At 45.6% G+C, this 16,561-nt stretch overlaps 1 long non-coding RNA gene, 1 other non-coding gene and 1 pseudogene across 5 annotated transcripts in view; all 3 read right to left on the bottom strand.

Moving 5' to 3' along the window:
- Positions 1 to 265: 265 nt before the first annotated feature.
- The window catches only part of LOC105377642 (uncharacterized), a 33,448-nt gene continuing 17,152 nt past the window's right edge, over positions 266 to 16,561 (bottom strand). For 2 of the 4 annotated variants that reach the window (XR_002959625.2, XR_007095871.1), the window contains exons 2-4: positions 5,328 to 5,415; positions 4,106 to 4,262; positions 543 to 582 (exon numbers count right to left, since the gene is read on the bottom strand). This is a non-coding gene — a long non-coding RNA (uncharacterized LOC105377642). Of the gene's footprint in view, positions 4,263 to 5,327; positions 5,499 to 16,561 lie in introns of all 4 variants that reach the window. The other 2 variants (XR_007095870.1, XR_007095869.1) reach the window with 2 other exon arrangements.
- LOC124906354 (small nucleolar RNA U13) lies at positions 13,246 to 13,349 on the bottom strand. Its single transcript, XR_007096321.1, has one exon. It is a non-coding gene; the product is annotated as a small nucleolar RNA U13 (small nucleolar RNA).
- On the bottom strand, positions 13,421 to 13,856 carry RPS16P4 (ribosomal protein S16 pseudogene 4; annotated as a pseudogene).

The following is a 16,561-nucleotide window of genomic DNA, read 5'->3' as shown; positions in this document are numbered from 1 at the left end:
CAGGAAAATTGCTTGAATCCGGGAGGCAGAGGTTGCAGTGAGCTGAGGTGGTGCCATTGCACTCCAGCCTGGGCAACAGAGCAAGACTCTGTCTCAAAAAATAAAAAATTATAACTGTTTTTTCAAGTTCTGCGTGAAGGATAAATATTCTCTGCCTTCAATAAACTTATTCTCTGTTGGAGGAGGCAGAAAGGTTCAACAGGCAATCTCAATAGCATAGTAAATGCTGTCTCATGCGTCCTTGCGAAGAGACCACCAAACAGGCTTTGTGTGAGCAACAAGGCTGTTTATTTCACCTGGGTACAGGTGGGCTGAGTCAGAAAAAAGAGTCATCAAAGGGCGCTGGGATTATCATTAGTTCTTATAGGTTTGGGATAGGCATACAAAGTACCTTCTTAAGGGCGGGGGAGAATATATCTTCTCAGTTAGGGTAGGGCAGATGACAATGGTGGAATGTCATCAGTTAAGGCTATTTTTACTTCTTTTGTGGATCTTCATTTGCTTCAGGCCATCTGGATGTATAAATGCAGGTCACAGGGGATATGATGGCTTAGCTTGGGTTCAGAGGCCTGACATTCCTGTCTTCATGTATTAATAAGAAAAACAAAACAAAATAGTGGTGAAGTGTTGGTGTGGCAAAAATTTTTGGGGTGGTATGGAGAGATAATGGGCAATGTTTCTCAGGGCTGCTCCAAGTGGGATTGGGGTGGTGTGAGAACCTAGAGTGGGAGAGATTAAACTGAAGAAATATTTTGGGGTAAGGGGTGATATTGTGGAGTTGTTAGAAGGAGCATTTGTCATATAGAATTATTGGTGATGGCCTGAATGTGGTTTTGTATGAATTGAGAAACTAAATGACAGACACAACTTCTGAATAAGAGAAGGAGAAAAACAAGTATTAAAGGACTAAGAATTGGGAGAACCCAGGACATCCAATTAGAGAGTGCCCAAGGGGGTTCAGCATAATTATATTCTTAGTTGACGAGTTTTGGGGCTCTATCCTTGAGTTTTTTTATGTTGTCATATACCAGGCCAGATTGATTAAGGTAAAAACAACACTCTTCATTTAAAAATATACAGAGTCCTCCCTTTTCAGCAGTGAGTAAATTGAGGCCTTGGTGATTTTGGAGGAAAGAGAAATGCAAAGCCAGCAATTGTTTGTTAAAGAAGGATTAGAAATAGCTAGGAGAGAGTGAGTGAAATTGATAGTGTGGTGGAGATAGCTGGGGAGAGGTAGAGGGTGGCAATAAGAATGGGAACAAGAATAAGAGTGAGTATAAAAGTAAAGAATAGGACTTCATCAGGGTGAAAGTGTTGGAATGTGTCCTGTCAGCAAAGATCATCTATCCACTCCAAGAGGGAGTCAAGAGTGGAGGACTGGGGATAGATATTCACGATGGAAAGGAAATGAGAGGTTTGAAGAGGCAGACTAACGGCTTGTAACCTACCGTGGAAGAGGTTATGAAATGACAACAGAATAGAATGGGCATGTGAGGCTGGAAGGAGATATTTTCCTTGGTCCAAGAACAATTTGCCTTGTGCGGGAAGAGATTGATAGGTGGAAACTTCAGTAGGAGAGTAAATAGGAGTGACCAATTAGAAGGAGAAAAACTGGCCATGAGGGACAGAAGTTGGAACACTAGGTGCTTCTTTAGCTACCTTATCAGCATAAGCGTTGCCCTGAGCAATGGGATCTGATGTCTTTTAGTGGCCCTTGCAGTGTATGACTCCAGCTTTCTTGGGAAGTAAAGCGGCCTTGAGAAGAGTTTTTATTAAAGAGGCATTAATGATGGAGGACCCTTGCATAGTGAGGAAACCTCTTTCAGCCCATATAACAGCATGGTGGTGCAGGATATGGAAGGCATATTTACAGTCTGTATAAATATTGATGCATAATTCCTTTGCAAGAGTGAGTGTTCGAGTTAAGGCAATGAATTTGGCTTGCTGAGAGGTAGTGGAGGAGGGCAGAGTGGTAGCCTCAGTGATAGATATGGAAGATACTATAGCATAGCCTGCCTTTGCTGGTGAGTGGCGGTTAGGCCTGGTGGAACTGCCATCAATAAACCAAGTGTGATCAGGGTGAGGAACATGAAAGAAGGAAATACGGGGAAATGGAGTGAATGTCAGGTGGATCAGAGAGATACAGTCATGGGGGTGGGGGCCAGCCAAAAAGAGTAAGGTCAAGTTGTTTGGACAGAAAGGCTACAGGGTGCAGTCCCAGCTCTTGTGTAAGAATTTTGACTGCACAGCCCTGTACTTTGGCTGTGTGTAATGAAAAGGGTTGGGATGAGTTAGGGAGAGCTAGTGTGGGGGCAGCTTCTAGGGCTGTTTTTAAGGAACAGAAAGAGGAGTGGTGAAAGGATTTAGGATCTATGGGGTCAGCTAGGTTTGGTTTTGTGAGTTTATATAATGGTTTTATTAGGATGGCAAAACCAGGTATCTAAAGGTGAAAGTATCCAACCATGCCTAGGAAGGAAAGGAGTTGTTGTTTTGTAGAAGGGGTTGGGGTTTGGGAGATTAGCCAGACACAATCAGCAGGGAGAGCACGTGTGTTTTCATGAAGAACTATGTCGAGATAGGTAATGGATGAGGAAGAAATTTGGGCTTGACTGAAGTAATGGGGGCTGTCCGTGAAGCCTTGTGGCAGTACAGCCCAGGTAATTTGCTGAGCCTGATGGGTGTCAGGGTCAGTCCAAGTGAAAGCAAAGAGAGGCTGGGATGAAGGGTGCAAGGAATAGTAAAGAAAGCATGTTTGAGATCCAGAACAGAATAATGGGTTATGGAGGGGTTGTGGAGGGAGGTACTGAGGATAGGAGAGTATATGGCTTTGGCACCATGGGGTGGATAGGCAAGACAATTTGGTTGATAAACGCAGATCCTGAACTAACCTGTGAGACTTGTCCAGTTTTTGGACAGGTAAAATGGGGGAATTGTAAGGAGAGTTTATAGGCTTTAAAAGGCCATGCTGTAACAGGCAAGTGATAACAGGCTTTAATCCTTTTAAAGCGTGCTGTGGGATGGGATATTGGCACTGAGCAGGGTAAGGGTGATTAGATTTTAATAGGATGGTAAGGGGTGCATCATCCATCGCCAAGGAGGGAGTAGAGGTGTCCTACACTTGTGGATTAAGGTGGGGAGATACAAGGAGAGGATGTGCAGGAGGCATTGAACTGGGGCAAAAGGCAGTAGTGAGGTGTGGCTTTAACCCAGGAATAGTCAGGGAAGCAGATAATTTAGTTACAATGTTTTGAACTAATAAGCGAGCTGGGCAGGTGGGATAACTAAAAAGGAGTTCATTAAAGAATGTTGTCCAAGTTGGCACCAGAGTTGGGGAGTTTTAAGAGGTTTAGAAGCCTGGCTGTCAATACTCACAACAGTTATGGAGGCAAGGGAAACAGGCCCTTGAAAAGAAGGTGCTTGCCCCCGCAGGAAAGTGGAAATGGGGTGGGAGGTGCTTGCCCCCCAGGAAAGTGGAAAAGGGGTGGGAGGTGCTTGCCCCCCAGGAAAGTGGAAAAGGGGCAGAGACATGGAGAGAAGGGGTGGGGGGTACTTGCCCCCCTAGGAAAATGGAAAAGGGGCAGAGACACGGAGAGAAGGGGTGGGAGGTTCTTGCCCCCCAGGAAAGTGGAAAAGGGGCAGAGACACAGAGAGAAGGGGTGGGGGGTGCTTGCCCCCCAGGAAAGTGGAGAGAAAAGAGAGGGTAGAGACACGGAGAGAAGGGGTGACATGAGCAGCCCTGGGCTGCAATGTGGGTGAGCAGCCAAAGCAATTGTCCCTACAATTAACTTGCCACCAAGGGAATGTGGGTGAATGACCAAGTTAGGCATCCCCACGGAGATCAGACACCAACGGAATGTGGGTGAATAATCAGGCAGGCATCCCCACAATGATTAAACACCAAGGGAAGGCTGTGTTCCTGAGTCTGTGACCTGTGCCGGAGTTTTGGGTCCACAGATAAAATGTGTCTCCTTTGTCTCTACCAGAAAATGAAAGGAATTGAAATTAAGAGAAGGGAGAGACTGAAGGGTGGTGCCAAGATTGAAAGGAAAAGAGGTTGAGGGATAGTGAGAGAGGTTGGAGAAGAGAGTAGAAAGAGGCCGCTTACCCGATTTAAAATAGGTGAGATGTTCCTTAGGCTGGTTGGTCTGAGGACCCAAGGTCGTAGGTGGATCTCTTCACAGAGTGAGGGTGAGGATGGGGGACTGGTCTCCCAAAGGAGTCCCGCTGACCCAGGTCTTCGGCACCAAATGTCTCATGCGTCCCTATGAAGAGACCACCAAACAGGCTTTGTGTGAGCAACAAGGCTGTTTATTTTACCTGGGTGTAGGCGGGCTGAGTCCAAAAAAGGAGTCAGCAAAGGGTGGTGGGATTAGCATTAGTGCTTTTTTTTTTTTTTTTTTTTGGGACAGAGTCTTGCTCTGTCACCCAGGCTGGAGTGCAGTGGCACAATCTCGGCTCACTGCAAGCTCTGCCTCCCAGGTTCTCCTGCCATTCTCCTGCCTCAGCCTCCAGAGTAGCTGGGACTACAGGCGCCTGCCACCACACCTGGCTAATTTTTTGTATTTTTTTAGTGGAGATGGGTTTTTACCCTGTTAGCCAGGATGGTCTCGATCTCCTGACCTCACGATCCACCCGCCTCGGGGCCTCCCAAAGTGCTGAGATTAGAGGTGTGAACCACCGCACCCGGCCGGGATTATCATTAGTTCTTATAGGTTTGGGATAGGCATACAAAGTACCTTCTTAAGGGCAGGGGGAAAATATTACAAAGTACCTTCTTAAGGGTGTGGGAGAATATTACAAAGTACCTTCTTAAAGGTGGGGGAGAATATATCTTTTCAGTTAGCTCCAGCTGGAGTAAGCACTAGATGTTCCAGCTGTAGATGCACTAGATGCTCCAGCTGGAGTAAGCACTAGATGTTCATGGAGCACAGAGCAGGGGAAGACTTGAAAGGGGGTGTCTCATCTCAGCCAAGACCTGAAGGATTGACAGGAAGTTTCCAGGCAAAGGAAGAACTACAGAAAGGCTCAGTGTTAAGAACAAGCACCCCATGTTTGGGGAGCTGCAAATGCTTCAGGTAGAGATGCGCTTGGTATGAGACAAGCAAGGTCAGCTCAGAAAGGCTTGACAAGTCCTGATAATTGCTTCGGGCTATTCCTGAGGGTAGTAGGAAGTTTTTCAAGGATTTTAAAGGACTTGATATGCTTTGTGGAACACTCACTGCAGTTGTAGTCTTGGAAGGGGGCTAAATAGACCCACTCCCTCCTTTGAGAGACTTTCGTCATTTTGGCTTCCAGGAAAACATACACTACAGTTTTTGTCCTACTACCTGTGTTCATTCCTTTGCTGGCCTCTTGTCTTCTCCCCGATTGTTCATGATGGTGGGTCCCAGGGCTTCCACTTTTTTTTCCTCCAATCTACTTCCAATACGGCAGCCAGATTTAAAACATGAGGCAGGTCAGTCCTTTCTCTGCTCAGGACTCTCCAATGGCTTGCTGTTCTACTCAGAGTAAAAGTCAAAGTTCTTACAGTGGTCCCCGAGTCCCTACATGATTGGTCTCACTTTTCTCTCCACCACCAGCTCACTCTGCTGCAGCCACCCTGTCCTGCTTACTGTCTTCTGTACACACCAGGAATGCTTCCACCTCAGGGCCTTTGTGCTGGCTCATCTGTCTGCCCAGAATCCTCTTTGCCCAGATATCCTGTGGTTCCATCCCTGATCTTCAAGTCTCTGTTCAAATGTCGCCTTCTCAATGAGACTTTTCCTGACTGCCCCATTTAAAATTGCAACATTTCCTTCTAGCCTGACACTTCTGATACCCATTTCCCATTCCCTTTTCTTTCTTTCTTTGTAGCCCTTATAACCTTTTAACATCTTATATAATCTCTGTATTTGTTATTTTTATAGCTTATTGACTCTTACTCCCACTAGGTTGTAAATTCCACAGAGATGGAGCTCTTGGTGTCTTGTTCACTGATACGATCCAAATATCTCTTAGGATGTTTCCAGCTACATCCTGAGGCTTTCCCCAAGGATTCCCCTCTACCTGGAGGGGACTGTTCCCAAGTCCCTGAGCCCAGAAGATCCCTCAGAGACCATATAACCTGGAGATCATAAAGTTGCCTAAGACATAGCTGATTATGAAGGAGAGAACCCTGGAATTTAAGCAGATAAGGTGGATGTGGAGTTGACTGAACATTTCCCAGCTTTGTGATCTTGGGCAAGTCACCCCACCTCACTGAGATTCAATTTCTTTGCCTGTGAAATGAGGTTAATATTTGTCCCTCCTACCTTGCAGTGTGTGGTGGAAGTGTGGCCTTTTAGTTTAAATCCCTATGCTTTAGCAGGGCTCGATGGCTCACACCTGTAATCCCAGCGCTTTCAGAGGCCCAGGTGGGTGGATCACCTGAGGTCAGGAGTTTGAGACCAGCCTGGTCAACATGGTGAAACCCTTTTTCTACTAAAATTACAAAAATTAGCCAGGTGTTGTGGTGGGTGCCTGTAATCCCAGCTACTCGGGAGGCTGAGTCAGGAGAATCGCTTGAACCCAGGAGGCAGAGGTTGCAGTGAGCCAAGATCCAGCCACTGCACTCCAGTCTGGGTAACAGAGCAAGACTCCATCCCCAATAAATAAATAAATAAATAAATAAATAAATAAATAAATAAATCCCTATGCTTCAATATCCTAAGGAAAAGACCCACCTGCAGTTTATGATAACACAATGGCTATGTCTATATTTGTGCCAATTGGCCTTGAAGATAAAATGTCAGCTGTGGGGGAGGATATATTTGTGTTTAAAATTCAGAGATCCTGAGAGCATCAGGATGAGGTGGAGAAAGCGTGAGATTATGGTATTACAGACAGAATGGGCAATATTCACAAGGTGGAGGAGGAACGTTCATGCCATGGTCAGGGGCTACTGATAGGGGAAACCCAGGCATTGAGAGGATTAACCACTTTCCAGAAGTCCTAATAGACCCTTGGTGGACTCTAGGATTTTCAAGTCCCAGGCCAGCACTTTCCCCATCACTGTCTTCTCGAAGAGTGATAAATGAAGTTGTTTTCATAATACAGTGACATTTTCAGGTCCATTTCCTCAGACTCACTGGGTACTTCATGGACCATCACACTCCTGTTTGAGCATCTGGGCTGCATCTGCATCCAGTTTCCAAGGGTCTTGTCAGAACAGGAGGTAAACCCAGGTTATTGTCCCAATTTTGCCAGTCACTTGGGTCCCTGACTATTCCACAGCTCTGAGTCATAGATCACCATTTCTCTTTTAACCTAGTGGTAGAAGTTTATGCCTGTTGGATCATTGCTTTTATATCTTGTTAGCTTTGTCTAGGATTTATTAGTCTGTAATTTCAGATTGGGCCCCAGGGGTATTTCTGAATATAACTGTGTGTTTTGTGTGTGGGTGGGTATGCATGCAGGGATAATCTATGGCTTTAAATCTGAAGTTTAACTGGAAATAATAATAATTACTAATTAACAATGTGGATTTATATAAAATGTTATTGATGAAAATAATAGCAGCAGCCATCATTTATTGAGTGCTTATTATGTGCCAGCCACCATATTAATTTGAGGTAGGGACCATTTAAGGGTAAGAAAATCAACCACACAACATCAGTGATGGAGCTAGGATTCAAACCCAGGCTGACCAAAGAGTTCACTCTATTCTTTGCAATTACTGCATCCTCAAACAATCCCCTCCTCCACGGCTCTTGTTTTTCTTCAGTAATGGTTCCCAACTCTTTGCTGCCTGGACACACTAGACAGATGATATTTGGCCAGCATAACCCACTTCTGAGGCCCAGCTCCAATTTTTAGTGCATCCTGCCAACTTGTCTGTTGGCTGGCTCTACCTCCATCTGCAGCTCTCACGACTACGGCCCAGCAGTGTATCCAACAACATTGTGTGAACCTCTGCTCTAGGAGAAAGGCCATACCCTCCAGTCCACTCTGGCTCCACTCCACATCCCCCTCCTAACTTCTCATACCTCCCCCTTTGGAATCTCCCCTTGAGTTAGGCCAAGCAGAGTTCTGGAGAGGCCTTACAGATGATGTTCTCCTGGACTGGGATAAGTTCTGCATCCTTTTCAGCTACTCATGCCAGTTCACGTTCCTACATTTTCCAGGAACCCTTGTTGTACCAAGCAGGGTTCTCAGGTTGCCAATCACAGAAGCAGACCCTTAAAAGACCTTATTGGAATGATATGGGAAAGCTCACAGAATTTACAGAATCTGAGCCGGCAGGCCCCAGGAAGAGCAGTTAGGGGACCTGAGGTGTCCAAGTAGCAGGAGTTAATGGGAGGTCCCTTCAGAGAGCTTCCATCCGGGATAGATTTTCCACCCTTATGTTCCTGTACTCAAGATTCAAATCCCGGCCGGGTGGGGTGGCTCACGCTTGTAATCCCAGCACTTTGGGAGGCCGAGGCAGGAGGATCACGTGAGGTCAGGAGTTTGAAACCAGCCTGGCCAACATGGTAAAACTCAGTCTCTACTAAAAATACAAAAATTAGCCAGGGTCGGGGCGCGCGCCTGTAGTCCCAGCTACTCCGGAGGCTGAGGCAGGAGAATCACGAACCCGGGAGGCGGAGGTTGCAGTGAGCCAAGATCATGCCGCTGCACTCCAGCCCGGACGATGACAGAGCGAGACACCGTCTCAAAAAAAAAAAAAAAAAAAAAGATTCAAATCCTTGGAAGAGAGAGTGTGAATGGCCTAGTTTGGGTCTCTGGGCCACACATACCCATCGACCACAGCACTTTAATTCATAGTCCCGGCCAGGCACGGTGGCTCACGCCTGTAATCCCAGCACTTTGGGAGGCCGAGACGGGTGGATCACAAGGTCAGGAGATCGAGACCATCCTGGCTAACACGGTGAAACCCCGTCTGCACTAAAAATACAAAAAATTAGCCGGGCGTGGTGGCCGGCGCCTGTAGTCCCAGGTACTCTGGAGGCTGAGGCAGGAGAATGGCGTGAACCCGGGAGGCGGAGCTTGCAGTGAGCCGAGATCGCGCACTGCACTCCAGCCTGGAAGACAGCGAGACTCGGTCTCAAAAAAAAAAAAAAAAAAAAAAAAAATGCATAGTTCCGCCAAGTCCACCCACATGCAACTAGTTGGGGACAGTTTCTTAAAGGATAATTACAGTGCTGCAACAAGGCTGGGCGCAGTGGTTCAAACCTGTAATCCCAGCACTTTGGGAGGCCAAGGAGGGCAGATTACTTGATGTCAGGAGTTTGAGACCAGCCTGGCCAATATGGTAAAACCCCGTCTCTACTAAAAATACAAAAATTAGCCAGGAATGGTGGTGCACACCTGTAATCCCAGCTACTTGGGAGGCTGGGACACGAGAATCGCTTGAACCCAGGAGGTGGAGGTTGCAGTCAGCCAAGATCGTGCCACCACACTCCAGCCTGGGTAACAGAGTGAGACCTTCCCTCAAAAAAAAAAAAAAAAAAAAAAGTGCTGCTACCAGAAGAGGGGAGAAGGGATGCTGAGCAGGCTGGACACTAAGGCCACAGCCTTCTCTCCCTTCTCTCAAGCCTTAGATTCACACTGCTATTTTCCCTATTGATGGCCTCTCACTGACCTGCCTCACCTAGGGTTGTTATTTAAACGTGTGCTGCGAAATGCCTGTCATAGCCATCATTGTGCTTGCTTCAGAGCACATATGTTACCTTCCCCCAAAGTTGAGAAACTCCTGGGAGGCAAGAGCTGAGGCTCCTAAGTCCACAGGTTTGCTCGGAGCCAAACTATGGGCCAATTAACAGGTTTTAGGGACTGGCTGAGTGACCAGCTGCATGTTTGTATGTTGGGTGGAAGAGCGGGATACCAAGACAGTGAGGTAAGTGGGAAGCTTTCCCTGGAGAACTTTTTAACCCCCAGAATACACCTATTTTCCAGTGAAAGCAACTAAGTCAAGAGGTTCTGGGAGAATTAGTTAAAAGAATTGCAGCTCAAGACTGGCTCCATTAGGCCAGGTTCTTCTAGACTTCCACCATGGTCATATACACTTCTGAAAACTGTCACTGCCATTAAATCTCCCGTTACGATTCTTTTTTCCCTCTTAGTTTCTTATTAAGAGCCTTTATGGGGGCTGTGTGCCGTGGCTCACACCTGTAATCCCAGTGCTTTGGGAGGCCAAGGTGGGAGGAATACTTGAGGCTAGGAGTTTGAGACCAGCCTGGGCAACATAGTGAGACTCCATTTATATATATTATATATATATATACATATATACACATATATATGTATATATATATATAAATTTTTTTTTAATTTAGCAGCACAAGGATTGCTTGAGCCCGGGAGTTTGAGGCTGCAGTAAGCTATGATCATGCCACTGCACTCCAGCCTGGGCAAAAGAGTGAGACCCTGTCTCTAAAAACAAACAACAAAAACAAACAGAAAAAAAAGAAGGCTCTTATAAAAAAACATTGGCTTTCCCTCTGCTAACCTGCAGTTTGGGAAAGAGCCTGGATAAAGATTGAGGACATGTGGCAACTGGGACCCACTCTGCCCTTAACTGCTTAGCTGCTCATTCAGTCAACAAATAAACACTGAGAACCTACTATGTGTCAGGCATTGTTCAAGACACTGCTAGGGATACAGTGGTGAACCAAAGATACCAAATCTTCTTAATTTCTTTTCTTTCTCGGAGATAGGAGGCCTTTATCAGCTCTCATGGCTTTTTCAGAGCTATCATTCCAGAATTATATGAATGAAGGAAAAACAATTTTCTCTCTCTCATTCAAGGCAAAGGGGTATTCAAGGTGCCTCAGGAGGTAAAGCAAGTGGTGACATTTTCTTGGAAATAGTTCAGAATCTGGATGGATGGAGAGAGAGAGATTACATAATGAAAAGCCCACAAATGTTGGTTCATTGCTGGCACACAGTGAACACAGTGAACTCTTACTAAGTATCTGTTTGGTGGATGAATCATGTGGGAAAAAGAAGGGGACTTAATGGGTGGCTGCAGGGAGAATTTCCTCACTGTGACTCGAGACCCTCACATGTGCCTCTTTGCCTCTATCCTGTCTTGGGAGTACTGCTCCTTCCGTAACTCCCCCATCTCCTCAGGCATTTGGACCCCAGCGTTCCGGGCCTGAGAGTCCAGAATTTCCACTCTCTGTGATACAAAGAAGAGGCCCTGGCTCATTATTGACTATAACCCTAGGGTTTTTCCTCTTAAGAGGGAAACCTTCCCTCTCTTAATCTTCCGGGTCTTCCTAAGAGGAAAGAATGTTTGCTTCCTAGGCACCTAATATAAACTCCCTTAATGGGTTTAAGCCTGGGGTCACAGAATCAAGTGCACACAGAAAGAGGCCAGGCAGGTAATGTCAATTGTGACAGACAATAAGGAATGCTGGGGACTGTGGTGACCTGGAGAGCTGAGCCTCATGTGAACAGCATCATACTTTAAAAAAGTACTGTGTGGGCCAAAACAGTGGCACTCATGTGTGGGTGTTCGAAGATCAGTGAACTATCAGTTTATGGCATCTATTATTAGAAACAAGCCAGAAAAACTTGTCAACTTTTCATTCTTCTCTCTGCGGCATGTCTCCCTGAGACCACATGGCTGCTTGAATGGAGGGAAAGAAGAGGAGGACATGCCAATCGGAGAATGTAGGTTAATATCTTCAATAGTATTCTACCATACCCACATTTGGCTTGGATAGAACGTTTTCTTGGGCTAAACTCCATAAAATTCCTATAGAGGCACAATTACTGACTCAAACAAAAGCTGCCTTTGACTATTGAGAGAGGAGTGTCTAGGTCAGAAGGATCAATTTTCTGATGAATCAGTGAGCAATTCTGAGTGGAACTAATCAGGCTTGTGTTGTGTCACCCTTTATTTATAACCCATGGTTCAGTGATCTGAAATCTGACCACTCCTCCTCTGACTTCCCCCGACCTCCTTCTACTTTCCTAACATGTGTGCAAATGTACCACATGTATACACACACAGAGAAATACAAAGATGAAGAAAAGCATTTTTCAGAAACAAGAAGGCTCAGAGAGATGTTAGAGCCTTCCTGACAGTACTGGAAACAACAAAAGATGCAAGGGTGTGACGGCCAGTGGAAGTAATTTAACTCCTGTGCCTCCAGGGAATCACAAGGTCTCAGGAAAACAGCCATGAGTAACAAATTAGCTCCCCAGCAAGGCAAATTCCTGGAGGATTAAAGACAGGGAGTGATCCCAGCAACATTTCTAGTTACTAATGCCTAGGGATAGGAAGGGCAATCAATTAATTTTTCCCTCAGGATTCCAACTGAGGTTGTCCCATAAAGTATTGGGTCATATTTCCAAAGCCACGTTAGGTCAGGCCTTGGTTACCCATCACATTAGTTAAGGTTATATTGGTTTCAGGGAAGAAAAGGAAACTTTGGCTGACTTAAACAAAAAGGAGGATTATTGGGAAGCTCCTGTGGGCTTTGATGAAATCAAAAAGAAAGCTGGATAACCACAGCTCAGCAAGGGAAGAAACTGAGCACCAGGAGTTCATGGTTGTGTTGCCATTGATATGATTCTGTTTCAGTGTGCCCAGGCTCTCTGGTTCTTTGGGATAAAAGGATCTCATGGGCCCTATGACTTAGCTTGGGTTCCCCAAAGGCAGAGGGATTCTGTTGTGATGTACGGGGAGAGTGCTCTCAGGAGAAATCCATTAAGGGAGTGAGGGAAGCAGGGTGGTACAGGAGACAGAGCTAAGCAAGCCTAGCCTCAGCCTGATCCGGTGGTGGGACCTGGAGAGTGAATGACATGACTGAGTTATCCCACTTTGAAGCAATGGTGTTCCTCTCCCTCGAGGGGGAGAACATACTTTCTCAAGCATTTTTGGGAAGATGATTCAATAGCAAAGCCACCTGTGAGGTGTTCATAGCCAACATTCACAGCAGCTGGGGGATGGTGCACTGCCTAGTCAAGGAGATCTGGGTAGAGCACCAACAGAATCCACTGCTCCTGGCTTGGGTAAGGTGTCCACTCAAGAGCAATTAGCCATTGAGAGAGAGGCAAAACCTTGAAGTCTAGACATGGCAGCAGGGCTATTTCCAGAGGAAAGTGTACAAGAGTGATGGGAAGTTATACCAAATGGTGTCCATAGTACCCACTTGAATAACTTCTACTGAAAATGCTCTCCTGGCCAGTATGTACAACTGGCCAGGTGTTTCTTCCTCAGTAAGAAGAGTATTTCCCAGGCACTTAACATAATCTCCTTTTTTTTTGTTTTTCTCACGTCAGTCAGGTAATATGTCAACATGGTAACAAGGTTCGAGGGTGGCTCATCTCACACGTGGGCAGGAACACCCAATCATCATGCTCATGAACTACAAAAGGATCATCTCTGTTTTTTTAAAAATCTCTCAAACATTGTTTATTATACAAGTAAACCCCAATTCTCATGATGGGCTTATTGGTAGGATTTCTGGTAGCAAGCATGGGTACCAGCGTCTCTTAATTTTTTGGATTAGTGGTGGTGGAGGTCAGCCACCAGCAGGATCTGGTCGTACTGTATGAGGATGTCTTTGATCTTTGTCTTTGATCTCCTCCTTGGAAAACTCATCCATATACTTCTGGTAATAGGACACCAGGGCTTTGAGGCTGGACTGATGGATAGCATATATCTAGGCCATGTGATCACCACCCTTCACATGGACACGTCCATGCCAGCAAATCACTCCTTGTCTGGAAGCAGAACTGGTTCCAGCAGCTCATATATTGGTATGTATAGCTCGATCATCTCCAGGGGCCGCCTGTTCACCTTGATTGCTGCGTTTGCAGTGTGCCACAGCTGTGGCTGTCTTCTTGCATCTGAAGACCTGCACAAAGTGCAATGAGCCCTTGGAAAGAATGGCTACAGGTATAGATAAGAACTCCTCTCTTTTTTTTCTTTTTGAGACAGGGTCTTGCTTTGTTGCCCAGGCTGGAATGCAGTGGGGCAATCTCAGCTCACTACAACCTCTGCCTCCTGTGTTCAACGAATTCTCCTACCTTGGCCCCCGAGTAGCTGGGATTACAGGTGCCTGCCAGGAAGCCCAGCTAATTTTTGTATTTTTGGTAGAGATGGGGTTTCACCATGTTGGCCAGGCTGTCTTTTTTTTTTTTTTTTTTTTAACATAATCTTAATAGGGAGCTCTCCAGTTTAACCACAGTCCTTGACACTCCCTACTGTCTACCACAATTGATCATATGATAGAATCTTTCTGTGTGCATTTGAGTTTGTGGCCCCAGGCCTAAACCCATTAAGGAAGAGTATTTTAGGTGCCTGGGTACATAAGTAGAAGTGGAATTTATGGATTCTGGGGCATGAATGTGTTCAGCTTTAGTGTATATTGCTGAAGAGTTCTCCAACATGGTTGTATCATTTGATACTGCTTTTAACAATGTATGAAAGTAGGCTGGGCACAGTGGCTCATGCCTGTAATCCCAGCACTGTAGGAGGCTGAGGCGGGCAGATCACCTGAAGTCAGGAGTTCAAGACCAGCCTGGTCAACGTGATGAAACCCCATCTCTACTAAAAAAATACAAAAATTAGCCAGGCGTGGTGGTGCATGCCTGTAATCCCAGCTATTTGGGAGGCTGAGGCAGGAGAATTGCTAGATCCTGGGAGACAGAGGTTGCAGTTAGCCAAGATCATGCCACTGCATTCCAGCCTGGGCAACAGAGCAAGAGACTGTCCCAAAACAAACAAACAAACAATGTATGAAATTTCCACTTGCCCCACATCCTTACCAGAACTTGGTATTGTCTGTCTTTTTCATTTTACCTATTCTAGTAGATACGCAGTATTATCTCATGGTGGTTTTAATTTGTATCTCTAGGCCGGGCATGGTGGTTCACACCTGTAATCTCAGCACTCTGGGAGGCTGAGGCAGATGGATCACTAGGAGTTTGAGACCAGCCTGGGCAACATGGCGAAAACCTATCTCTCCTAAAAATAAAAGGAAATTAGCTGGCTACAGTGGCACATGCCTGTAGTTCTAGCTACCTGGGAGGCTGAGGTGGGAGAATCACTTGAGCATGGGAGGTGGAGGCTGCAATGAGCCATGATCTTGCCACTGCACTCCAACTTGGGTGACAGAGTGAGACCCTGTCTCAAAAAAAAAAAAAAAAAAAAAGAAAGAAAAGTATTTGGCATCTGCCTAATAAGTAATGAAGTCAAGCACTATTTGATGTCTTTTCTTGTTGGTTCAGGTAAACTGTTTATGAATTCTGTATATCAGGTGAACTGTTTATGAATTCTGTATATGAATATACAAAGCTCTTGGCCTGGTATGGTGGCTCATGCCTATAATCCCAACACTTTGGGAGGCTGATTCGGGACAATGGCTTGAGGCCAGGAATTCGAGGTTACAGTAAGCTATGATAGTGCTACTGCACTCCAGCCGGTGTGACAGAGCGAGACCTTGTCTCTTAAGAAAAAAAAAAAATTCTTTAACTCAAAAAAACCAAATCCTCTGCACTGTGGCCAATGAATAATTTTATGGCAGATGGGTCTTTTGCCCCTCGTTTTATACTAATATATAATTATTACATATTGAACATAATACTGAAGCCCAGTATATTCACCCGTTTGGTGAAGTTGAGATTATAGCCCATGTTTCCTGACAAGCTGTGCACACATCTGTTGGTTCTCCTCGGCCTGGCATCCCTTAATCCTACTTACCTCTCCTTTCTTCCTTCTCCATTTCAACCATGGGACTCCAGGGAGGTTACCAATCACATTATTCCCTCCCTTTGGCTACGTGGCCATAAACTGGGCCCATCAATTTATTTCTCCATAAAACTTGAAACTCCAATGAAAGCCTCTTGAAGTCTCATAGATGTGCCCTGAGAGCAGGCCCAGGGTCACCTGCTGGTAAGGACCTGGAGCTTCCCAGTTTCCTGTCCTTCCAAAGGTCATGATCTCTATCTCTTCCCTCAGTTCTGGAACTACTCAAGAATCCTTTTTCCAATAAACCCCTTCTTCCCTTAGTCAGAGTCAGTTTCTATTGTGTGTTAGTCAGAGAACTAATATAATCCCAATTCTCTTTTTTTCTGCCACCATCAATGAGCAAAATGGGAAATTTTTAAATTATTTAATTGCATTATACTTATTCATATTTTATTTATTACATTTTGTAAATAAGATTTTCGTGGCCGGGTGCCATGGCTCATGCCTGTAATCCCAGCACTTTGGGAGGCTGAGGTGGGCGGATCATCTGAGGTCAGGAGTTCGAGATCAGCCTGGCCAACATGGTGAAACCCTGTCTCTAAAAAAATATAAAAATTAGCTGGGCATGGTGGTGTGCACCTGTAGTCCTAGAAACCTGGGGGGCTGAGGCAGGAGAATCGCTTGAACCAGGAGATGGAGGTTGCAGTGAACTGAGATTGTGCCACTGCACTCCAGCCTGGGCAATAAAGTGAGACTGTCTCAAAAACAAAATTGGCTTTTAATTTCTTAAAATTGGCTTAGTTGGTCATTGCATGTTAAAACCATATCTGCAGCTACTCAGGAGGCTGAGGCTGGAGTATCCCTTGAGCCCAGGAAGGAGTGGTTGCAGTGAGCCAA

Source organism: Homo sapiens, chromosome 3 (genome assembly GCF_000001405.40).
Source record: "Homo sapiens chromosome 3, GRCh38.p14 Primary Assembly".
NCBI lineage: Eukaryota > Metazoa > Chordata > Mammalia > Primates > Hominidae > Homo > Homo sapiens.
The sequence above is the reverse complement of the archived record's forward strand: the minus strand, read 5'-3'. Positions and strand labels throughout refer to the sequence as shown.